The sequence below is a fragment of the Homo sapiens genome, chromosome 20, assembly GCF_000001405.40.
Source record: "Homo sapiens chromosome 20, GRCh38.p14 Primary Assembly".
NCBI lineage: Eukaryota > Metazoa > Chordata > Mammalia > Primates > Hominidae > Homo > Homo sapiens.
The window spans coordinates 44,333,959-44,356,327 of NC_000020.11; the positions used below are offsets into that span (position 1 = coordinate 44,333,959).

A 22,369-nucleotide genomic window follows, 5' to 3' on the forward strand; every position below is an offset into this window, starting at 1 on the left:
AGGCCCAAGTGAATTGAGGATGTGAAGTTCTGAGCCAGTGCAAAGTGCCAGTTACATAGGAGTGGCTTGTGCTATGCGTTCTGAGAGAGCCGGGCTTACTTGTTGACACTCCTGGGTTCCTAAGTGCCATGGCTGTTTGTGTCTGCCTTCCCTGGGCTGCAGAATTTGCCCTGGTGTATCGAAGATCCCACCTGTTGTTGTCCGAAGAGCCAGAATTGGGAACCTATCAAAGAGAAACTGGGAACAGCCTTCTTCAGTGGGGGCAGCAATTTCAGTTCAGTTTCTTCAGTGGGGCATCCAAGGCCCAAAGAAGGATAAGAACTTGCCTTAAGACACCCAGCACACTGGAGGCAGAGACGGGGCTAGATCGAACGAGTCTCTCTTGTCCTTCTGGCATAGTGGGAGAGCCCCCATAGGGGTCAGGGGTCGCAGCCCTCACCCCTCACTGCTCTGCCCTCCCCACCTTCCCCAGCATCCAGCAGGAAGGTCACTGCTCCAGCAGGAAGGTGTGTGCTTTGGCAGCCGCACTGTCTGGGCTGCCTGTGGTGGGAATTCCACATGTCTGGAGAGGACCCGTCTGGAGTAGCCCAGTCCCAGCCCCCAGCCCTGCTTCGCCAGCTGGCCCAGGGTTTGGCCTGCTGCCCCGAGACTAGGTTCAGCCTGGGAATCCTCAGAGCTTGCTAGAAGAGTAGTCTGAGGATTGCAAATTCTTCACCTGTGTTTTTTATATAACACCTTTCTGTTGTAAGTCTATCCCCTTCTATTACAAAAGTAATGCATTTTATTTTTGGGGAATACAAGTAATGAAAGAGGAGAAAATTGAACTCTTTCTTAACCTAGGACTTCAGCAACTCAGAGACTGAGACTTTAAACACACACACACACACACACACACACGCACACACGTCCATTATCTACATACTCATACATTCACCTGGGGACACATTTGACTCAAGAACACTCAAACACACACACATGTAAGTATACTTGCACACACATACACAAGTGCATACATACTCTCACAAGTACACACGTACACACAAACACATTCACACACACATTCCTAGAGTGCACACAGTGTGCCAGCCACTGTACTAAGGCTCCACAAATGTTCACTCATTTCATCTTCGCAGTAATGCTACAAGGTAGGCACCGCTATTTCTCCCATTTTACAGATGAGGCACACAATGGTTGAGTAACGTGCCCAACACCTAGTTAGTGAGGGGGTGGGATAAGGGAAATTTGAACCCAGATTTGTGGGCTTAATTCATTTGCTAATGAATAGGCTGTGTTTGAGTGGCATCATAACGAACATCACCCTAGGCTTTTTTCCTTATGCATCTATATTTGGTTTGGTTAGAAAATGGCATCTTTGGCTGATACAAAAAAATTAGCCAAGTATGGTGGTGCGTGCCCGTGGCCCCAGCTATTCAGGAGGCTGAGATGGGAGGATCACCTGAGCCTGGGAGGTGGAGGTTGCAGTGAGCCGAGATTGTGCCACTGCACTCCAGCCTGGACGACAGAGCGAGACTCTGTCTCAAAAGAAAAAAAAAGAAAGACAGCCTGTCCAATATGGTGAAACCCCATCCCTACTAAAAAATACAAAAATTAGCCAGGTGTGGTGGTGTGCACCTGTAGCCCCAGCTACTTAGGAGGCTGAGGCAGGAGAATCGAGGTTGCAGTGAGCCGAGATTGCGCCACTGCACTCCAGCCTGGGCGACAAAGTGAGACAAAAAACAGAAAGAAAAAAAAAAGGAAAGGAAAAGGAAAAGGCATCCTTTTAGATACTAACCAGGCCTGGGGTCAGATCTGGACTTAAATCCTGGCGTGATTGCAGACTGGCTGGCTTGACTTTGGGCTTGTTCTTTCTCCTCTCTGGGGCTCAGTTTCCTCATCTATGAAATGGGGAGCTATAGTACCTGCTTCTGAAGGTTGGCTGGGCTTTTGTGTAAAGCACTCAGCCCTGGGCCTGGCACATAGCAGGGGCTCACTAGATGGGCCATATTAACTGTCTGCTCCAAGGCTGGAGGGTGTTATAGGGAAAACAGTCAGAAAATACTCTCCAGATGCAAGGTGGCCTTAATATGTCAGGATGTGGAAGGCAGAGAGAAGCCTCGGGGTCTGGGATCTCCCATAGGGGATGAGTATTTTTTCCTGGAATCCCTGCCCTGTTGCCACATCACTACCCTGACCATTTGCCCAGCCCAGCCCTACATGCTTCAGGTGAAAGCAGAGAGAGAGGGGCGGGAGAGAAAAGCCCATCAAGCAGCAGGCGGAGCCTCCCTGCAGGAGTCTGGCCTGGCTGGAAGGGGAGGGGGCTGTGGGGCCAGGGACGTCAGATGCCAACAGCACCAGGGGACCGTTAAAGTTGCTGCGCCGCCAGGTGGGCCAGGGTGTCTGCAGAGGTCCCCGGCCTCCTGGGCTGCCGCCTGCCACCGCTTGGGCTGCCCGTCCTGGGTACGCACCGTTGGAGCCTCCTGCCTGGTCTCTCGTGCTTCTCTGTCTCTTCTCTAAGTCGATTTTTCGCTCTTTCTTCTGTTTGTGCCCCTCTCTCTGTCTATTTCTGTCCTCCCCCAGCCACATTGTTGCCTCTCTCTCATTCTCTCTTATCTCTTTACCTTTCTATTTCTCATTCTTTTTTCTCTGTAACTCTTTTTTTCTGTCCCCTTTTTGGTCTCTCTTTTTTCTCTGCCTCTTTCATTCTCTGCCATTGGGTTTTCTCTGTGTCTCATTCTCAATTCCTAAATTGCAGCAAAGCAGGGACAAAAGGACCTTGCAATATGACTTGGGGTAAGGTGGGCCCTGCCCTCCGAGGGCATTGACTGAGCCCGCTCCAGCAGGATTGGTGAAGAGGATGTCTAGACTGGAGAGGGCTGCTGTCTGTCTCCTGGGCTGGAGGGACAGAGCACTGGCTTTGAAGTGGTGGCACCATCTCACCCCAGGGCCATGTCTGGATTAGCCACTGTCTGGGCATTTCTTCCCCTTGCCCAACCCACTCAGTCCCCTGGGGTGGAAAGGAAGGGGTGCTGGGCATCTGGACCAGAGCTGCATCTGGAGGTCTTTGCCAAGTTCCCAGGAGGCAGCATCCTCTGGGTCGGCACTGTTGGAGAACGCTCAGGGTCTGGTGCTCTCGTGCCTGCCCCTTCCAGGCAGCCGGCTCTGATTGCACAAGGCAGACCTGTGACTCCTCCATCCAGCTATGCCCCTGCTGCCCAGCACCGTGGGCCTGGCAGGCCTGCTCTTCTGGGCTGGCCAGGCAGTGAACGCCTTGATAATGCCTAATGCTACCCCAGCCCCGGCCCAGCCCGAGAGCACGGCTATGCGGCTCCTGAGTGGCCTGGAGGTGCCCAGGTACCGCCGGAAGCGCCACATCTCTGTGAGAGACATGAATGCCTTACTGGATTATCACAACCACATCCGGGCCAGTGTGTACCCACCTGCCGCCAACATGGAATACATGGTGAGTCCCCGTACCTGCCCCCCACCCCCCGCAGTGTCCCTTCCGGCAAACGCAGCCGGACTCATCTTGGCCTAGAATGACTGGCTTTGAAGAGCTGGACCACTTGCCTGCCTGGCCCCACTAGCCAGTATCTGGGTGTCGACCTGTGGAAAGGGCAGGAGTTAATCTGCCCATTTTACAGATGAGGAAACCAAGAAGGTTGCACAGCTGTTCCAGTGAGTCAGGCATGTGACTACTATGTAAGGAGCACCACTGTGCGCCAGGCACTGCACGTGAGTATCATCTCCATTTTCCAGAGGAAGAAACTGAGACTCAGAGAATTAATTTGCCCAGCCAGGATTTCAATCCAGGTCTGCCTGCTGCCACCTGGCACCATCACAACTGTAACCATCACAATCCCCTACCCAAGAATTTTGGCTCCCCACACTGGGGACCTGCATGGGGTGCGTGGCTGGTGCTTTCTATGCTATTGTCTCTTTACCCTAAGGTCTTGACTGACACACCCACAGCATCCTCCACAAGCCCCTGGAGGCAGGCTTGGAGCAGTGGGGACAGGTACTGGGGAATCTCAGGCTGAGGAAAACCAACAGCTGACCAGCAGAGGAAGCTGGGATGTCTCCCCTCAAAGAGGCAGGGCTGGTGGCTCTCACTCCAGCCCCCAAGAAGTCAAAGGAGGGCACCAACCTTTTGCTTACAGCTCCTCCCCCAGGGCCACTGTCCAAAACCAGCCTAGAGGGATGGGTTTCCAGCCCACCCAGAGATGTCTTTAGGGAAAGAGTTTGCCAGTCTGCCCCCTGAAAGACCAACACATGCCACTCGATAGCCTGAAAACTTAACTTTTTCATCGTATCCATTGACTTATACTTGGAGTACACTTGCAGCCAGGCACCGTGCTAAGCCTTGTGGATACTGCTGGTAACAGAATAGACAAGGCCCCTTCCTTCACGAAGGTGACATTTTAGTGGGAATAAGAGAAAACAAGCATGAACAACAAGATATTAATGTACATAAGATAACGTGAGGAGGCAATACAGTGTTGGGAGGGGCGGGAATAAGAGCCGGGATGGCAGGCAGCTAGAGTGCAGGGGAGTCATTGACTTGTTCATTCATTCGTTAGCACCTAGAATGCCCTCCATTTTTCAAACAAATGGCACATTTATTGAGCACCCGTTGTGCGTGTGTGGCACCTGCCCCAACAGGTGTTTAATGATTGCAGGCGGCATGGAGCAGAGAGGGTTCAATATCTCACCAGGGACTCCAGGGAGGGCCTGAACATGTAGGTTTGATGTTTAGCCTGCTCCTTCCCTCACTTTACCCCTTTGTAGCATGAGGGAAGCACTCCTCTGCTCTCCCTAAAAGACTGAGCCAGAGAGCCGGGCGCAGTGGCTCACGCCAGTAATCCCAGCACTTTGGGAGGCCGAGGTGGGTGAATCACCTGAGGTCAGGAGTTCCAGACCAGCCTGGCCAACATGGTGAAACCCAGTCTGTACTAAAAATACAAAAATTAGCTGGGTGTGGTGATGAGCGCCTGTAATCCCAAGCTACTTGAGAGGTGGAGGCAGGAGAATCGCTTGAACCTGGGAGGCCGAGGTTGCAGTGAGCCGAGATCCAGCCAGCCTGGATGACAAGAGTGAAACTCTATCTAAAAAAAAAAAAAAAAAAAAAATATTGGGCCAGACAACCCTGGTAGATACCTGGACCCCTCTTTGGATGCCCCATTTCTCCCTCCCTAGCTGACTTCTACTCACAGAACAGGCTGTCCAACTCGACAGCCTTTGCCCTAGCAGCCCTTCTCTCACTGCCGCAAGAAAGTTTGGCTCCCATTTCTCACTCTCACACCGACCAGGACTGTAATAATCAATGACTTGTTGAAGGCCTTGTTGCCTTGCTACCCTGAGTCCTCAGTGCCTAGAGATGTTGTTTGATATTTGATGAATGAACAAATCCTATTTCAGAGAATCCCAGGAAGTCAGAGATGGAAGGGAACTAGTATTTTAATGACATATTTTCTGGTTATAAAACTTGGAGAATTCATACATTGGAAAATTACAAAACTGTTAAGGAGGATGAGGAGGGCATTCACCATGTAGTGATGGGGAATAATCACTAAGACAAAAGAGCAAGGTGCAGAATAGAATATGCTGCCATTTGCCTATATATATGTGTGTGTGTGTGTGTGTGTGTGTGTCTGTGTGTGTGTGTATATATAGAGAGCTGCTTGTACAGGTATAGAATATATACCTGTATACAGAGGACACAAGAAGCAGTGGTGACTGCCTCTTGGGACGGTGTGCAGGGTGGTGGGGTTGGGGGAGAAGTATAGGAGAGAGATGAGACTTTCTACTGTTCCTCCTTGGTTATCTATTTTTGTTGTTGTTGACACGGAATCTCCCTCTGTTGCCCAAGCTGGAGTGCAGTGGCACGATCTCGGCTCACTACAACCTCTGCCTCCTGAGTTCAAGCAATTCTCGTGCCTCAGCCTCCCAAGTAGCTGGGACCACAGGTACACACCACCATGCCTGACTAATTTTTGTATTATCATTATTATTTTTGAAGACAGAGTTTCACTGTTGTTGCCCAGGATGGAGTACAATGATATGGACTCAGCTCACTGCAACCTCGGTCTCCCAGGTTCAAGCGATTCTCCTGCCTCAGCCTCCCGAATAGCTGGGATTATAGGTGCCCGCCACCACACCCGGCTAATTTTTATATTTTTAGTAGAGACAGGGTTTCACCATGTTGGCCAGGTTAGTCTCGACCTCCTGACCTCAGGTGATCCGCCCACCTCGGCCTCCCAAAGTGCTGGGATTACAGATGTGAGCCACCATGCCTGGCCTAATTTTTGTATTTTTAGTAGAGAGGGGGTTTCTCCATGTTGGCCAGGATGGTCTCGAACTCCTGACCTCAAGTGATCTGCCTGCCTCAGCCTCCCAAAAGTGCTGAGATTACAGGCGTGAACCACTGTGCCCAAGCGGATATCTTACATATTAAAATTATGCATATTTTCACGATTTAAAAAAGCTTTTGACTTAACCATTTTCAATGTTAAAATAAACACATTTAGAAAATACTACAAGGCCGGGTGCGATCCACCTGCTTCAGCCTCCCGAAGTGCCCTGTAATCCCAGCACTTTGGGATGCTGAGGCAGGTGAATTGTTTGAGGCCAGGAGTTGGAGACTAGCCTGGGCAACATGGCAAAACCCTGTCTCTACAAAAATTAGCCAGGTGTGGTGGCATGCGCCTGCAGTCCCAGCTACTCAGGAGGCTGAGGTGGGAGGATCGCCTCTCACCTCACCACCTCCCACTGTACCAGGAGGCAGAGGTTGCAGTGAGCTGCGATCGCACCACTGCACTCCAGCTTGGGTGACAGAGTGAGATCCTGTCTCAAAAAAGAAAAGAAAAGAAAAAAAGAAAGAAAGAAAAAGAAAATACTATAAGTACAATTTAAGAATTAGTTATTTTCTCATCCTTCTGGGTTCAGTCACTTCTAGGGACTGCTGAGAACTCCTGTACGAACACCCTGGGACCTGCTCAGAGCAGAGCCCAAGCTCAGAGTCAAGAGATCTGGGTGTGGACCCCAGCTCTGGTATGGACTCATGGTTGCCCTTCAAGTCATCAGCGAGCTGAGCCTCAGTCTTCTACTTTGTCACGTGGGTTTGTTGCAGGGTTCCAGGGAGATGGGGTAGAAACGGCACCAGGTAAATGTGCATCTCTGGACACAGTTGTGACGATGGTGGCAATTCCCCTGGGGAATTTCATTGCCTTTCTTTCCCCAGGTCTGGGACAAGCGGCTGGCCAGGGCTGCCGAAGCCTGGGCCACCCAGTGCATCTGGGCACATGGGCCTTCACAGCTGATGAGATACGTGGGCCAGAACCTCTCCATCCATTCTGGCCAGTGAGTGACCCTCTGCCCTTCCTTCACTCAGTCATTCAACAAATACTCATTGAACACTTACTCTGTACCAGGTGCTGCACTTGACACTGGGATACAGTGGCGAGCAAGGCAGACAAGCTCTCCACCTGCAGGGAGCCTGCATTCTAGTTAGAAGGGGCAGGCAAAACCCTAACAAAGTTGTGTATACATTGAATTGAGGCAAGTCTTGTTTGGTTTGAGAACAAACAAGTGCACAGATTGTGGTGGAAAGTGAGGAGGGATTGGAAGACTAAGAAAATAGGATAAGGGGGCCGGGCACGGTGGCTTACACCTGTAATCCCAGCACTTTGGGAGGCTGAGGTGGGCAGATCACTTCAGGTCAGTAGTTCAAGACCAGTCTGGACAGCATGGTGAAACCCCGTCTCTACCAAAAATACAAAAATTAGCCCAGTGTGGTGGCGCATGCCTGTAATCCCAAGTACTCGGGAGGCTGAGGCAGGAGAATCACTTGAACCTGGGAGGTGGAGGTTGTGGTGAGCTGAGGTTGCGCCACTGCACTCTAGCCTGAGTGACAGAGTGAGACTGTGTCTCAAAAATAATAATGTCAATAAAATAAAATAAAGATAAGGGGATAAAATAAAATAAAGATAAGTCTGAGAATGGCAAACCCACCCTTCTGGCCTGACCTTCTCACCGCCATTCTGACTGTCAAGTCAGATTCCGGGGACCTTCTGATCTGGGTAGCCTTGGGAAGTTATTTCCACTTTCTAAACCTTGGTGTCCCTGTTTGTAAAACAAAGTTGTTAGCCTAGCTCAGTTCTTTCCAGACTTGTGGATTTCACAGGCCTATAAAATTGCAAAAAGAAATCTGTGAGACTGCCACACAATTGTCAGATTTTTATTTTGCCAAATAAGGATGTCAGAAAAACAACTACCTTCCCATCCTCGCCATTCTGCCATCACCCCGGGGAGAGTGGGAAAGAATTAAGGCCAGTCCCTTCAAGTGAGCTCAGTGGAAATTCAGGGCCCTGTCTGTGTTTTTTCATGTCCTTCACTGGTCACAACCAGCACCAGCCTCTGAGAGCCGTGAATGGTCACTCAGAGCCCTACAGAGCAGACATCGGGTGATTCAGTCCTGCCTCCATTTCACTTTCCCTCTCCCCCGCTGCTGAACTCTTCCTGCCAGACTCCACCCCTACCCATGGCCACCATTTGAGAGGCTCACAGAGAGAAAGAAAGCAGTGTTAGACACGAAGCTGTGCTGTCGTAAATTATGAATGTGCATTCTTCCAGATTTTCTCCCTCTTTAGTCATTTATGTATATTTTTATATATTTGTGCCCCTGTCAAATATGTGTAATAGAAAAAGCCCTCAGAGGCCGGGTGCGGTGGCTCATGCTTGTAATCCCAGCACTTTGGGAGGCAGAAGCGAGCGGATCACCTAAGGTCAGGAGTTCGAGACCAGCCTGGCCAACATAGTGAAACCTCATCTGTACTAAAAATACAAAAATTAGCCAGGCGTATGCAGGTGCATACCTGCAGTCCCAGCTACTTGGGAGGCTGAGGCACAAGAATTGCTTGAACCCAGAAGGCAGAAGCTGTAGTGAGCTGAGATCACACTGCTGCACTCCAGCCTGGGCAACAGAGCGAGACTCCATCTCAAAAAAAAGAAAAAGCCCTCAGGTCCTCCCAGATGGCTTTTCAGACTACAGAGGTTATCTCTGGGTGACACACCAGTATCTGCCTTCTCCTCACATCTCAGAGGCCTAGGAGATCATCCGAGGAGCCCTTCCTTTCCTAAAAATGCAAGCTCCCCCGTCTGAGATGCACCTCCTGCCCGGCCCTCTGTATAACAGTAACACGTATCCTTTTTTGAGGACTTACCACTTGCCAGGTACAGGGAGGCACTTCACATGGGTTCAGAACATGCCTGTGAGGCAGGGCCACTGCCCTCATGCTCACAGATAGGAAACTGAGATGGGGGAAAGGAAGCAAAGTGATCACCCAAGGTCACCAGCAAGTTGGCGGCCGAGCCACTTTTCCATCCTCTCACCCAGCTTCTTCCGTGTCCCCCGCCTCCCCAGGTACCGGTCCGTAGTGGATCTCATGAAGTCCTGGTCTGAGGAGAAGTGGCATTACTTGTTTCCGGCCCCAAGGGACTGTAACCCACACTGCCCCTGGCGCTGCGATGGCCCCACCTGCTCCCATTATACCCAGGTACTCCTCCGTCAGGGCTGAGGGCCCCTGGGATAACACATCCTGGCGCCTTAGAAGAAAAGGAATGTGTGGAGCAGAAATAAGAATGCAAACAAAGACCGTTATGAGCTTCTTTTCACCAAAGAGGCATATTCCTGGAAAGTTGTGTGCACAATGAATTGAGGTGAATCTTTTTTGTTTTTGTTTTTTGTTTGTTTGTTTTTTGAGACAGAGTCTCACTCTGTTGCCGAGGCTGGAGTGTAGTGGTGAGATCTCGGCTCACTGTAACCTCTACCTCCCAGGTTCAAGTGAAACTCTGTCCCCCCCGCAAAAAATTAAAAGTTATATATATATAAAGAAAGAAAATGACTGGGTGCAGTGGCTCACGCTTGTAATCTCAGTAACTTGAGAGGCTGAGATGGCAGGATTTCCTGAACACAGGAGTTTGAGAGCAGCCTAGGCAACAGAGAAAGACCTCATTTCTAAAAACCTTTCTAAAAATAGTGAGGTGTGGCCATGCAAGGTGGCTCACGCCTGTAATCCCAGCACTTTGGGAGGCCAAGGGGGTGGATCACGAGATCAGGAGATCAAGACCATCCTGGCTAACACGGTGAGACCCCGTCTCTACTGAAAATACAAAAAATTAGCCAGGCTTGGTGGCATGTGCCTATAATCTCAGCTACTCGGGAGGCTGAGGCAGGACAATCACTTGAACCCAGGAGGCAGATGTTGCAGTGAGCCGAGATTGCACTACTGCACTCCAGCCTGGGCAACAGAACGAGACTCCGTCTCAAAAAAAAAAAAAAAGTGAAGCTTGGTGGTGCACACCTTTAGTCCCAGCTACGTGGGAGGCTGAGGCAGGAGGATTGCTTGAGCCCAGGAGGTTGAGGTTGTGGTGAGCTATGATCCCACCACTGCACTCCAGCCTGGGTGACAGTGAGACCCACCTCTCTAAAAATAATAATAATTTAAAAAGGAAATGAATAGAAAAGTATAGAAAATATATTGGCTGGCCAGGTGCAGTGGCTCATGCCTGTAATCGTAGCACTTTGGGAAGCCAAGGTGGGCAGATCACCTGAGGTCAGGAGTTCAAGACCAGCCTGGCCAACATGATGAAACCCCATCTCTACTAAAAATCCAAAAAATTAGCTAGGTATGCTGGTGGTTGCCTGTAATCCCAGCTACTCGGGAGGCTGAGGCAGGAGAATCACTTGAACCTGGGAGGCAGAGGTTGCAGTGAGCCAAGATACCACCACTGCACTCTAGCCTGGGAGACCGCGAGACTCTGTCTCCAAATAAATAAATAAATAAAAACATTAGTGACTGTCAAAAAAAAAAAGAAAATATATTGGCTAGTCTGAAGGTAGTGAGTTCTCTCAATTGATTGTTTACAGTCAGTTACAGATCCAACTTCCTTCTCGCGACTGCACTTGACTGAGTGCAGTATGAAATGAAAGAAAGAAAATATATCACACATGATAACATGATAAGGCTAGTGATTTGTAAAACTCTTGTTCAAATTGTGTGTATGTGTGTGTCTGTTTGTACACCTGTAACAATATAAAAATTATTCCTTACTGTTGGTTGTAATAAAAAGAAAACATTGAGAAACATCATGTTACAATATAAATGCCTCCGTTTCCTCCCCCAACACCTTGGAACAGGCAGACTGTCTCTCCCAGGAAGACCTCACCTAATGCAACTGTACAACCCCAGGGAGCCTGGGTCCCACTGAGCCCTTCTCATAGCCCCCTCTGTCTCTGTCCTTCACCAGATGGTGTGGGCATCCTCCAATCGGCTGGGCTGTGCCATCCACACCTGTAGTAGCATCAGTGTCTGGGGCAACACCTGGCATCGGGCGGCATACCTGGTCTGCAACTATGCCATTAAGTAAGTGCCTGCACCAAGGCAAAGAGGGCCCTGGGGCCGGCGGGTGGGTCCTGAGAATTCAAAGAAAGATACGCTCCATATCCCTTCTTCATTCTAAGTGCCCTCAATACCATATAATTTGGGTAGTTTTAAGAGTTTACTAAGGCCGAGCATGGTGGCTCACGCCTGAAATCCCAGCACTTTGGGAAGCCAAGGTGGGCAGATCCCTTGAGCCCAGGAGTTCAAGATCAGCCTGGGGAACAAAGCAAGACCCCAACTCTTAAAAAAAAAAATTAGCTGAGTGTCATGGTGATCATCTGTAGTCCTAGATACTGGGGGAGGGGTGAGGCGGGAGGGTCACTTGAGCCCAGGAGGTTGAGGCTGCAGTGAGCCATTATCATGCTCACTCATGAGTGAGAAACTGTCTCAAAAAAAAAGTCAATTAATAATCCATTTTTTCTTTCTTTCTTTCTTTTTTTTGAGAAGAGGCCTTGCTCTCTCAGCCAGGCTGGAATGCAGTGGCATGATCTCAGCTCGCTGCAGCCTCCACTTCCCAGGTTCAAGCAATTTTCCTGCCTCAGCCTCCCGAGTAGCTGGGATTACAGGCGTCTGCCACCACGCCCAGCTAATTGTTGTATTTTTACTAGAGACAAGGTTTCGCCATGTTGGCCAGACTGGTCTCAAACCCCTAACCTCAGGTGATCTGCCCGCATCGGCCTCCCAAAGTGCTGGGATTACAGGAGTGAGCCACTGCGCCTGGCCTATTTTCTCTTCTTTTTTTGAGACAAGGTCTCCCTCTGTTGCCCAGGCTGGAGTACAGTGGCACAATCACAGCTCACTACAGCCTCGACTGGCTGGGCTCAAGTAACCCTCCTCACTTCAGCCTCTCAAGTAGCTGGGACTACAGGTGAATGCCACCATGCCTCGCTAATTTTTTGTAGAGACGGTGTCTCACTATGTTGCCCAGGCTGGTCTTGAACTCCTAGGCTCAAGCAGTCCTCCTTCCAAGGTCTCCCAAAGTGCTGGGATTACAGGCGTGAGCCACCCTACCCAGCCCAATAATCCTTTTCCTTTACCCAAGTTTGAGAATCACTGGGAAATAGACAGGATTGACACAGGTGGAAAGACAGTGTTGCTGAAGTCAGTAGTGGAGAATGTGGCTTACATCTGCCAATACACCAGCCAACTAGGCTTACAAATATCTCACTACTGAATTAGACCTACACATCCAGTGGCAGGTAACACTGGATAGCCAAAGGCCCCTTCTTAGAAGTACAGTGCCAGCCCTCTAAGCTTACGACAAGAAAAATACAGCCAAGAACACATGCTCCCTGCAGGCAGGCAGATCCCAAAGAAAAGGAAGGAGGAATGAGTGTGCTTAGCTTCTCCAGTTTGCTGGGTGGGAGAGTTTAGGAGATGCCTGCATACAAGCCTCTTGGAAACAGGGAGCAAGCGTAATGAAACTTGCAGACGTTCCAGATTCTCATAGAAAAACAAGAACAGGCCAGGAGCAGTGTCTTACACCTGCAATCCCAGCACTTTGGGGGGCTGAGGCGAGTGAATCACCTGAGGTTAGGAGTTTGAGACCAGCCTGGCCAACATGGCAAAACCTCGTGTCTACCAAAAATACCAAAATTAGCTGGGCATGGTGGCGCGTGCCTGTAATCCCAGCTACTTGGGAGGCTGAGGCAGGAGAATCGCTTGAGCCTCAGAAGTGGAGGTTGCAGCGAGCTGAGATCACACCACTGCATTCCAGCCTGGGCAACAGAGCAAGACTCCGTCTCAAACAACAACAACAACAAAAACAAAACAAGAACAAATTCTAAGTAAACATGATATTTAGAATTTCTTTTTTTCTTTTTTCTTTTTTTTTTGGGGGGGGACGAGGTCTTGCTCTGTCGCCCAGGCTGGAGTGCAATAGCCAGATCATAGCTCACTGCAGCCTCCAACTCCTGGGTTCAAGCAATCCTCCCGCCTCACCCTCCTGAGTAGCTGGGAGTACAGGCATGCACCATTACACCTGGCTAATTTTTAACATTTTTGTAGAGATGGGGGGCTCATTATGTTGCCTAGGCTGGTCTTGAACTCCTGGCCTCAAGCAATCTCCCTACTTGGACTCCCAAAGTGCTGGGATTATAGGTGTGAGCCACCCACCGTGCCTGCCCTAGAATTCCAAAATTATATAATAACCACATTTTACTGTCACATAGCCTTTAATCATTTACAAACTACTTTCACACTATCTCATTGAAGAGATGAAAGAAAGAAGGAAAAAGGGGGGAACCCTAGGAGGACATTCTTTTTACAAATTAAGAAATTGAGGCTCAGGCAGGTTGAGTAATTTACCAAATGTCACAAAGCCAACAAGTAGTAGAGCTGGTTCAGAAGAATCAGTCTTTTGATTCCAAATTCCAAATTCTTTCTATTGTATTATTCTGATGTTCTTGAAGTCATTAGTAGCCTGAAACAAATTCTCAAAACAGGATACTTGTTATTTGTTAGAAATGGCATCTATTGACAATGTGTCACGTTACAGCCCAGCTTTATCAGAGACAGAAAAATACAAGAAACCAAATTTCATTACAAATAGCGTCTAATTTTTTTTTTTTTTTTTTTTTTTTTGGAGGCAGGGTCTTGCTGTGTTACCTAGGCTCGGAAGTACAGTGGCATGGTCACAGCTCACGGCAGCCTCAACCTCCCAGGCTCAAGTTTTCTAGTTTGTTTGTTGACATATCAAATGTTTGAAGCATTGAGTGTTATCAGTATAGTTGTTAAGATTTTTAGCCTCTGGGGCCAAGACTACCAGGGTTCAAATGTGTGATCTTACTTAACTTCTCTACTCCTGTTTCTTCATCTGCAAAATGGGAATAAAATAATACCCAATCTTGGAATTGAGTGAGATAACACAGGTAATGCCCCCAGGCTCATAAGTGGGAAATACAGATTGGTTACTATTGTTATTACCAGGCCTAGGTTTGATTCCCCTCTGCAATGCATCTACTAAGCATTTGAATACATCATTTTATCTTGACAGGCTTCGGCCTTCCCCTTCCCCTTCCTTTCTTTCCTTCCCCTTTCCTTTTCCCTTTTTCCTTTCCCTTTTCCCCTTTCTCCTTTTCCCTTTCTCCTTTCCTTTCCTTTCCTTTCCTTTCCTTTCCTTTCTTTTCTTCTGTCCAGCTCTGTCACCCAGGCTGGAGTGCAGTGGCAGAATCTCAGCTCTGCAACCTCCACGTTCCTGGTTCGAGCAATCCTCACACCACAGCCTCCCCAGTAGCTGGGACTACAGGCGTTCACCACCACACCTGGCTTATGTTTTGTTTTTTGTTTTTGTTTTTTGTAGAGACGGGGGTCTCGCCATGTTGCCCAGGCTAGTCTGGAACTCCTGGGCTCAAGCAATCTGCCCACCTCAGTCTCCCAAAGTGCTGGGACTACAGGCACGAGCCACCAAGCCCAGCCCCTTTAAGGTAAATGCTACCTGCTCACAGAATTTAAGGATTAAAATATAATGTGAGGCCAGGTGTGGTGGCTCACGCCTGTAATCCCAGCACTCTGAGAGGCCGAGGCAAGTGGATCACCTGAGGTCAGGAGGTCGAGACCAGCCTGGCCAACATAGTGAAATCCCATCTCTACTAAAAGCACAAAAATTAGTCGGGCATGGAGGTGCGTCCCTGAGGCAGGAGAATCGCTTGAACCCGGGAGGCGGAGTCTGCAGTGACCTGAGATCATGCCACTGCACTCTAGCCTGGGCGACAATGCGAGACTCTATCTCAAAGTAAAATAAAATAAAATAAATAAAATAAAATAAAATAAAATAAAATAAAATAAAATAAAAATAGCCTCTGTGGTGCCTTGCCCATAGTACATGCTAAATAAATGGTGGCCATGACTAGAACCAAGTTATAAACTCTTGGGCATGGGAAATCGACCGTTTTCATTTCTATATCCTTCTACTATAGTGATTGCAATCCTTTGTTTTTTTAAGCAGAACTTTTTTCTAAGTGGTTAAATTAAACAAAAAAAGAACTCCATGTCATCCCAGGTATCACCACCACCCACTCTCCCCGCCCCCAAACTTCTGAGAGCACCTTTTGAGAACTGTGGACTGACAGCAGCCGGCACAAATCCTGATGTTCAATAGGTGCTCCAGAAGTGTTTGTTGAATGACTAAATGATTGAATGAGTCCTGTTAGGAAACCAGAAGTGAGTATTTTTCTGAGCACTTCAGCTGATTTCACTCATGGTCACTCAACAATCACGTTTGGAGAAAAAAGATTATATTTCTGCTCAAAGGTGTGTTCATTTAAGGTGAGAAAACAAGGCACTGGGGCTTGGCAAAGAATGCCACAGGCCAGTGGTGAGATTATTAGGCAGCCATGAGCAAGAGCTGGAGGAACAATTTTAGGCTTTGAAAGGAGAAAGAGGGAGAAAAAGGCTGGGCGCGGTGGCTCACGTCTGTAATTCCAGCACTTTGGGAGGCCAAGGTGGGCAGATCACTTGAGGTCAGGAGTTCGAGACCAGCCTGGCCAACATGGTGAAACCCTGTCTGTACTAAAAATACAAAAATTAGCCAGGTGTGGTGGCACATGCCTATAATCCCAGCTACTCAGGAGGCTGAGGCACGAGAATTGCTTGAACCCAGGAGGCGGAGGCTGCAGTGAGCCAAGATCGCACCATTGCATTCCAGACTGGGTGACAGAGCGAGACTCCCTCTCAGAACAAAACAAACAAAAAGAATAAGAAAATCAACCCTTACAAGGGAGCCACTAATTAACTAGGCACAGTGCTAGGTGCATACATACATGTGATCTTTGCTGAATTCCTTAGAGAGAGAGGAGGCTCTTCTCTTGGTTTTACAGGAGAAACCAAGGCTTACAGGTTGGGCACAGTGGCTCATGACTGTAATCTCAGCACTTTGGGAGGCTGAGGCAGGAGGACTGCTTGAGTCCAGAAGTTTGAGACCAGCCTGAGCAGTATAGGGAGACCCCCCATCTCTGCAAATAAATAAAAAATTAGCTGGGCATGGTAGCATGTGCCTGTAGTCTTAGCTACTCAGAAGACTGAGCTGAGTTGGGAGGATTGCTTGAGCCCAGGACGTCAAGGCTGCAGTGAGCTATGGGTGACAGAGCAAAACAAAATAAATAAATAAATAAATAAAGGAAAGAAAAAAAAGAAACCAAGGCTTGCAGATGTGACTTGCCCCAGGTCCCCAGGGCTGGTCAGTGGCAGCGCTGAGATCTGGACATCTGTGTGAAGGTTACTCACCTAATGCTCCTCTGTCTCCCTGGGTCCTTTTCTCTTCCAGGGGCAACTGGATTGGCGAGTCCCCGTACAAGATGGGAAAGCCGTGCTCCTCCTGTCCCCCCAGTTATCAAGGCAGCTGCAATAGCAACATGTGCTTCAAGGGGCTGAAATCCAACAAGTTCACGTGGTTCTGAATTTTCTCTGGGCTTTGGTGCGCCTCCAGCTGGGCCTGACCCTCCATGTCCTGCCCTCAAAAAACTGGGTGGAGAAATAATTGTTTCTTTAAAGGATATGAGTTAGAATCACCCCCTGTTGAATTTTCCCTCCTAGATCCCCTTCTTAAATGTCCAACATGGGTCAAAAGAAAATGACCTCCTTGCCTTCCTTCTTTCCTAGTTGCATCTTTCTTTTCTTGGGCCTCTGGGAAAGAGCCCTGCATCTTTCATTAATTCGGTTCTCAGAGAACCAAGGCTGGAAGGCATAGAACTGGCACCTTGGGACCAGGCATAATGGCTCACACCTATAATCCCAGTATTTTGGGAGGCTGAGGTGGGAGAATCACTTGAGTCCTGGAGTTGGAGAACAGCCTGGAAAGCCTGGCGATACCCCATCTCTATTTAGAAACAAACAAACAAACAAATAAAAAACCTGGCACCTCGGTTTTGTAACTCTCAGGCTTTGTCAAACCCAAATGACTTTGTCCATCCAATGAAAGGAATTCCACTGGGTGCGGCGGCTCACACCGGTAATCCCAGCACTTTGGGAGGCTGAGGCAGGTGGATCACCTGAGGTCAACAGTTCGAGACCAGCCTGGCCAACATGGTGAAACTCTGTCTCTACTAAAAATACAAAAATTAGCCAGGAGTGGTGGCTCGCGCCTATAATCGCAGCTACTCGGGAGGCTGAGGCAGGAGAATCGCTTGAACCTAGGAGGCGGAGGTTGCAGTGAACAGAGATCCAGCGACTGCATTCCAGCCTGAGGACAGAGTGAGACTCTGTCTCTAAAAAAAAAAAAAAAAAGAAAGAAAGAAAGGAAACCCGCTTTCATTCGTCTCATAACAGTCAACCAGTTTCTGGGCAGTCTTTGAGGACTCGTGATTCGCTCCCTGAGTTGGGCACATTTCAGGCCCATGATTTTGAAAAACATTGAAATTGGCTTGTGGACATCCGCCCCCCCACCCCCACTGCATGGTACTGGAGCCACGACAGAGTCCAGGCCCCCCTTTTTACAGATGGGTACACTGAGGCTCAGAGCAGGGTGTAACTTACCCAGAGCTGCACAGCTTGTCTTTGATGGCCAAGGTTAGAGCTCAGTCTCTCACAGCTCCTTCCTGCTTCCTCGGCTCTCAGAACTGAGAAGTGAAAACCAAAGTTGGCCTGAGGGGACTCTCTCTGGGCCTTTTTTTCTCTATCTCTGCCTCGGTCTCTCTCTCTTTTGTCTACTGTCCGTTCTATCTCTGCCTGTTTTTGTTTTGGTCTCTGCATCTCTGATTCTTTTTCTCCCATATAATCTTACTCTCATTCCAATAAACCATTTCCCCTCTCCCCCCACCATCCCACCCAGGGATCATAGCACACAAAAGTCCTTTTGTCTCCAGAGATAGTAAAATCTCCTCCCTCAGACCTTGCCCTGCAGCTGGGGCCCACTCCCTGCCTGGCTGGAGAGCTTTTCCTTTGAAGACCCGGGATGGAAAACAGGCCCTTTTCCATGGAGTCCCTACGTTGTCCTGGATGGAATGAATTTTCTCATCCTGTGCATGTCACCCCCTCCCATTCCACCCCCAATAAAGTCTTTTGAGATCCAGTGTAGTGGCTCTTTCTGGTCCCTCCCTCTCTTGGCTCCCAAGAGGGTCAAAACACAAGGAATGGGAACTGGGTGGGGGAAGATGGGTGAGAGGAAAACCAGCTCAACTGGAAGACCAGGGGAAGGAACTAACAGCGCTTTGGGCCCCGCTCTGCAGAAGGCTAGATCAATGCACAAGTGCATGCACGTATACTATTGCTCCACTTTACAGATGAGATAAATGAGGCATGGGGTGAGTACTAGCTTCCAAATGCTGGAAATGAGTGAAATAAGAGAATTAAGAGGTTGGGCGTGGTGGCTCATGCCTGTAATCCCAGCACTTTGGGAGGCCAAGGCGGCAGATAGCTTGAGGCCAGGAGTTCAAGACCAGTCTGGGCAACACAGTGAAACCCTGTCTCTACTAAAATTACAAAAATTAGCCAAGCATGGTGGGGCACGCCTGTAATCCCAGCTACTCAGGAGGCTGAGACACCAGAATTGCTTGAACCCAGGAAGTGAAGGTTGCGGTGAGCCAAGACTGCACCACTGCACTCCAGCCTGGGTGACACAGCAAGTCTGTGTCTCAAAAAAAAAAAAAAAAAGAGAGAGAGAATTAAGGACACTGTTGTGAGTTCATTGTTCTTAGACTATATCTTTCCTACTTTATTTTTTGGAATGGGCTCTCGAAGGCAGTATCAGAAATGGAAAACCGAAGAGATCACGTGGAATTCCCACCTTACAGTGGCACTTTTGGCTTGTCTCTTCCCTGGCACAGTGGCTCATACCTGTAATCCCAGCACTTTGGGAGGCCAAGGAAGGTGGATCACCTGAGTTCAGGAGTTCCAGACCAGCCTGACCAACATGGTGAAACCCCGTCTCTACTAAAAATACAAAATTAGCCAGGCGTGGTGCTGTGTGCCTGTAATCCCAGCTACTTGGGAGGCTGAGGAAGGAGAATCGCTTGAACCCAGGAGGCGGAGGTTAAAGTGAGCCGAGATGGCGCCATTGCACTCCAGCCTGGACAACAAGAGCAAAACTCTGTCTCAGAAAAAAAAAAAAAAAAAAAAGAACAGATTTAATGAAACTTCTTGAATCCCAGTTTTTACATCTGTAAAATGGGAATATTGACAGTGACAATTCAATGACGTTAAGAATATACAATGCTGACAAACTAAAGAGTTCATAAATGCCAGTGGTTGTCATCCTCATTATCCTGGTGCTCAGGAAGGCAATGTGAGACCTGTTGAAATAGCACGGGCTTTGGGGTCAGATGATGCTGAATTCCAGTTCTGTGTTGGCTCCTTCGTAGTTATGTGACCTCATGACGCCACTTCATGCAGGGGGTTACGTACCACTTAAATCTCCAGAACATTTTGGGAAATTGACATAGGGTTAGCAAACCTCCCCCACCCCCATATAAAAATATTAATACTTTTTTTTTTTCTGAGATGGAGTCTGGCTCTGTCGCCAAGGCTGCAGTGCAGTAGTGCAATCTTGGCTCACTGCAACATTTGCCTCCTAGGTTGAAACGATTCTCCTCCTTCAGCCTCCCGAGTAGCTGAGATTACAGGTGCTCGCTGCCACACCCAGCTAATTTTTGTATTTTTAGTAGAGATGGGATTACACCGTGTTGGCCAGCCTGGTCTCAAACTCCTGACCTCAAGTGATCCACCTGCCTCAGCCTCCCAAACTGCTGGGATTACAGGCATGAGCCACTACACCCGACCAAGAATATTAATACTTTTTTTTAAAAAATATCGAAGTTATTTATTTATTTATTTATTTATTTATTTATTTATTTATTTTGAGATGGAGTCTCTCTCTGTTGCCCAGGCTGGAGTGCAGTGGCACGATCTTGGCTCACTGCAACCTCTGTCCCCCTGGTTCAAACGATTCTCTTGCCTCAGCCTCCCGTTTGCCACCATGCCCGGCTAATTTTTTTATTTTTGGTAGAGACGGGGTTTCACCATGTTGGTCAGGCTGGCCTCAAACTCCTGACCTCGTGATCGGTGCGCCTCGGCCTCCCAAAATGCTGGGGTTACAGGCGTGAGCCACTGCACCCGGCCCCAAAATCTAACGTTTGTTATCACTGTTGTTTTAGAAAAGAAAGGACATTTTAATGCAACCCATGCCCATCTGTAGGGGCTGAAGGTCCCTCTGAGGTGATTGATAAAGCTGAAAAAAGAGACTATGGGAAGAGAAGAGGAATATTATCAATTAGCTATTTTAGAAGCAGGGCAAACTATGAGCTAGGTATTCCTATAAGGAAATGAAATAATTTACTAAAAAACATACAGCAAGAAAATAATAGAGCTGGAGTTTTCTGATTTTTCTGAGTCCAGAATTTGTTTCACTGTTCTCATTTCAGCTCTCTCTAACAGGATGAATGACCTTGATTTCAGAATCCCCAAGCAGGTGGTGAGATCCAAAACTGAGACAAAAGAAACGGGGCTGTTCCAAAAAAAAAGCTAGGTGGCAGGTGTCTAACATGCCAGGGAGCTAAAACAGAGTGTGTGAGTTTCAGCAGCAGGTTGAATTTAGAATGGGGAAGGAGACCAGAGGAGACGCCAGACAGGATGACTTTGTCCCATTGGCCTGGAGGCAGCCCCATGTTTCTCCACCCCTCATATCACTCACCAGTTTGTAATAGTATCTTTGAATGACGATCTGATTAAGGTCCGTCTCCTCCATTAGTCCACAAGTTTCGGGGGTACATCTACTTTGCTCATTTCCATATCCCCAGAGTCTAGCACAAGGCCTGGTACATAGTAGGTGCTCAATAAATATGTTAGATGAAAGGAAGATAACACCTCTATGTACTAGCAGTGAGACTCCAGGCATGCAATTTCTCTCTGTCCTTCAGTCCCTTCATCTCAAGGTTTAATTTAAATATGGTAACGCCTGTATGCAACTCCCAGCATCCAGTAGGCACTCACTAAACACAGTTCTCCACCCTCCTTTTTTCCTCTGCCCCTCCCTCGGTTTTCCCACTACTTCCTGCATGGTGACACACCCATAGTTTGGAGCCATAAAACCCAACCCAGGTTGGACTCTCACCTCTCCAGCCCCTTCTGCTCCGGCCCTGTCCTCAAATTGGGGGGCTGATGTCCCCATACACCTGGCTCTGGGTTCCCCTAACCCCAGAGTGCAGGACTAGGACCCGAGTGGACCTCAGGTCTGGCCAGGTCGCCATTGCCATGGAGACAGCAACAGTCCCCAGCCGCGGGTTCCCTAAGTGACTGGTTACTCTTTAACGTATCCACCCACCTTGGGTGATTAGAAGAATCAATAAGATAACCGGGCGGTGGCAGCTGGCCGCACTCACCGCCTTCCTGGTGGACGGGCTCCTGGTGGCTGTGCTGCTGCTGTGAGCGGGCCCCTGCTCCTCCATGCCCCCAGCTCTCCGGCTGGGTGGGCTTGGCCATGGTCAGCGTGAACGCGCCCCTCGGGGCTCCAGTGGAGAGTTCTTACGGTAAGTGGGGCTGGGGGAAGACTGGACAGGGCGGGACTGCGGTCAGCTTTGGGAGGCCATGGGACACCTCCCCGTGTGTTTCTTACGGGCCCAAAGCTCCTCCTGGAGCTCCTCTGGAAGGGCAGGAAGCCCCACGGAGGCAATGTGACCGCTTCCCTAAGCTCTCAAGCCGGGGCATGGCCTGCTTGGTGCGAGAAGTGCTGGGAGGGGCCGAGAAGCCCTGGGGCAGAGGCTTGGCTCATTTTGTCTGTCCAGAGGCCTTCCTGGGAATGCATCTCAGGGGTCTTTCCAAAACCCCACAGAGGGTGGGGCTTGGAAGCACCGTCCTGTTTCGATGCGGGGCAAATTGAGGTCCACCAGGAGAGGCTTGCTGGGCCTAGGTCACGTTGCTGGTGCATTATCAAGCTGGGCGTGGGACCGGGCAGCTCGGTCGCTCCGCACCTCCGTTGGCTCTGGATAATGGGGAGGAGGTAG

At 49.0% G+C, this 22,369-nt stretch overlaps 2 protein-coding genes and 1 long non-coding RNA gene across 12 annotated transcripts in view, besides 3 other annotated features; 2 read left to right on the top strand and 1 right to left on the bottom strand.

Annotated features, from left to right (window-relative positions):
* Positions 1-512: an enhancer, noted in NCBI's record as "H3K4me1 hESC enhancer chr20:42962599-42963110 (GRCh37/hg19 assembly coordinates)". NCBI's record gives its function as "activates a minimal SCP1, AML or CMV promoter by ChIP-STARR-seq in primed H9 embryonic stem cells {active_cell/tissue: H9 hESC(primed)}" and the evidence as "EXISTENCE:reporter gene assay evidence [ECO:0000049][PMID:30033119]".
* Positions 1,767-2,756: an enhancer, noted in NCBI's record as "H3K4me1 hESC enhancer chr20:42964365-42965354 (GRCh37/hg19 assembly coordinates)". NCBI's record gives its function as "activates a minimal SCP1, AML or CMV promoter by ChIP-STARR-seq in naive H9 embryonic stem cells {active_cell/tissue: H9 hESC(naive)}" and the evidence as "EXISTENCE:reporter gene assay evidence [ECO:0000049][PMID:30033119]".
* On the top strand, positions 3,085-17,280 carry R3HDML (R3H domain containing like). The gene is made up of 5 exons (NM_178491.4): positions 3,085-3,460; positions 7,238-7,356; positions 9,419-9,551; positions 11,305-11,420; positions 16,702-17,280. Exons 1-5 carry the CDS (start codon positions 3,200-3,202, stop codon positions 16,832-16,834), a joined length of 762 nt encoding a protein of 253 aa, NP_848586.1. The 5' UTR covers positions 3,085-3,199; the 3' UTR covers positions 16,835-17,280.
* R3HDML-AS1 (R3HDML antisense RNA 1) lies at positions 13,594-21,284 on the bottom strand. Its single transcript, NR_184036.1, has 4 exons — positions 21,061-21,284; positions 17,910-17,992; positions 16,662-16,898; positions 13,594-13,860 (listed from the first exon to the last, which is right to left on the bottom strand). It is a non-coding gene; the product is annotated as a R3HDML antisense RNA 1 (long non-coding RNA).
* Positions 19,073-19,572: an enhancer, noted in NCBI's record as "H3K4me1 hESC enhancer chr20:42981671-42982170 (GRCh37/hg19 assembly coordinates)". NCBI's record gives its function as "activates a minimal SCP1, AML or CMV promoter by ChIP-STARR-seq in primed H9 embryonic stem cells {active_cell/tissue: H9 hESC(primed)}" and the evidence as "EXISTENCE:reporter gene assay evidence [ECO:0000049][PMID:30033119]".
* Positions 21,741-22,369, top strand: part of HNF4A (hepatocyte nuclear factor 4 alpha) — a 78,898-nt gene continuing 78,269 nt past the window's right edge. For all 10 annotated transcript variants that reach the window (NM_001287182.2, XM_047440138.1, XM_047440135.1 and 7 more), the window contains exon 1: positions 21,741-21,895. Coding sequence is in view for 3 of the 10 variants with exons in the window: in NM_001030003.3 (NP_001025174.1) it covers positions 21,847-21,895 (49 nt within the window). In the remaining 7 variants the exon portion in view is untranslated. The remainder of the gene's footprint in view (positions 21,896-22,369) is intronic.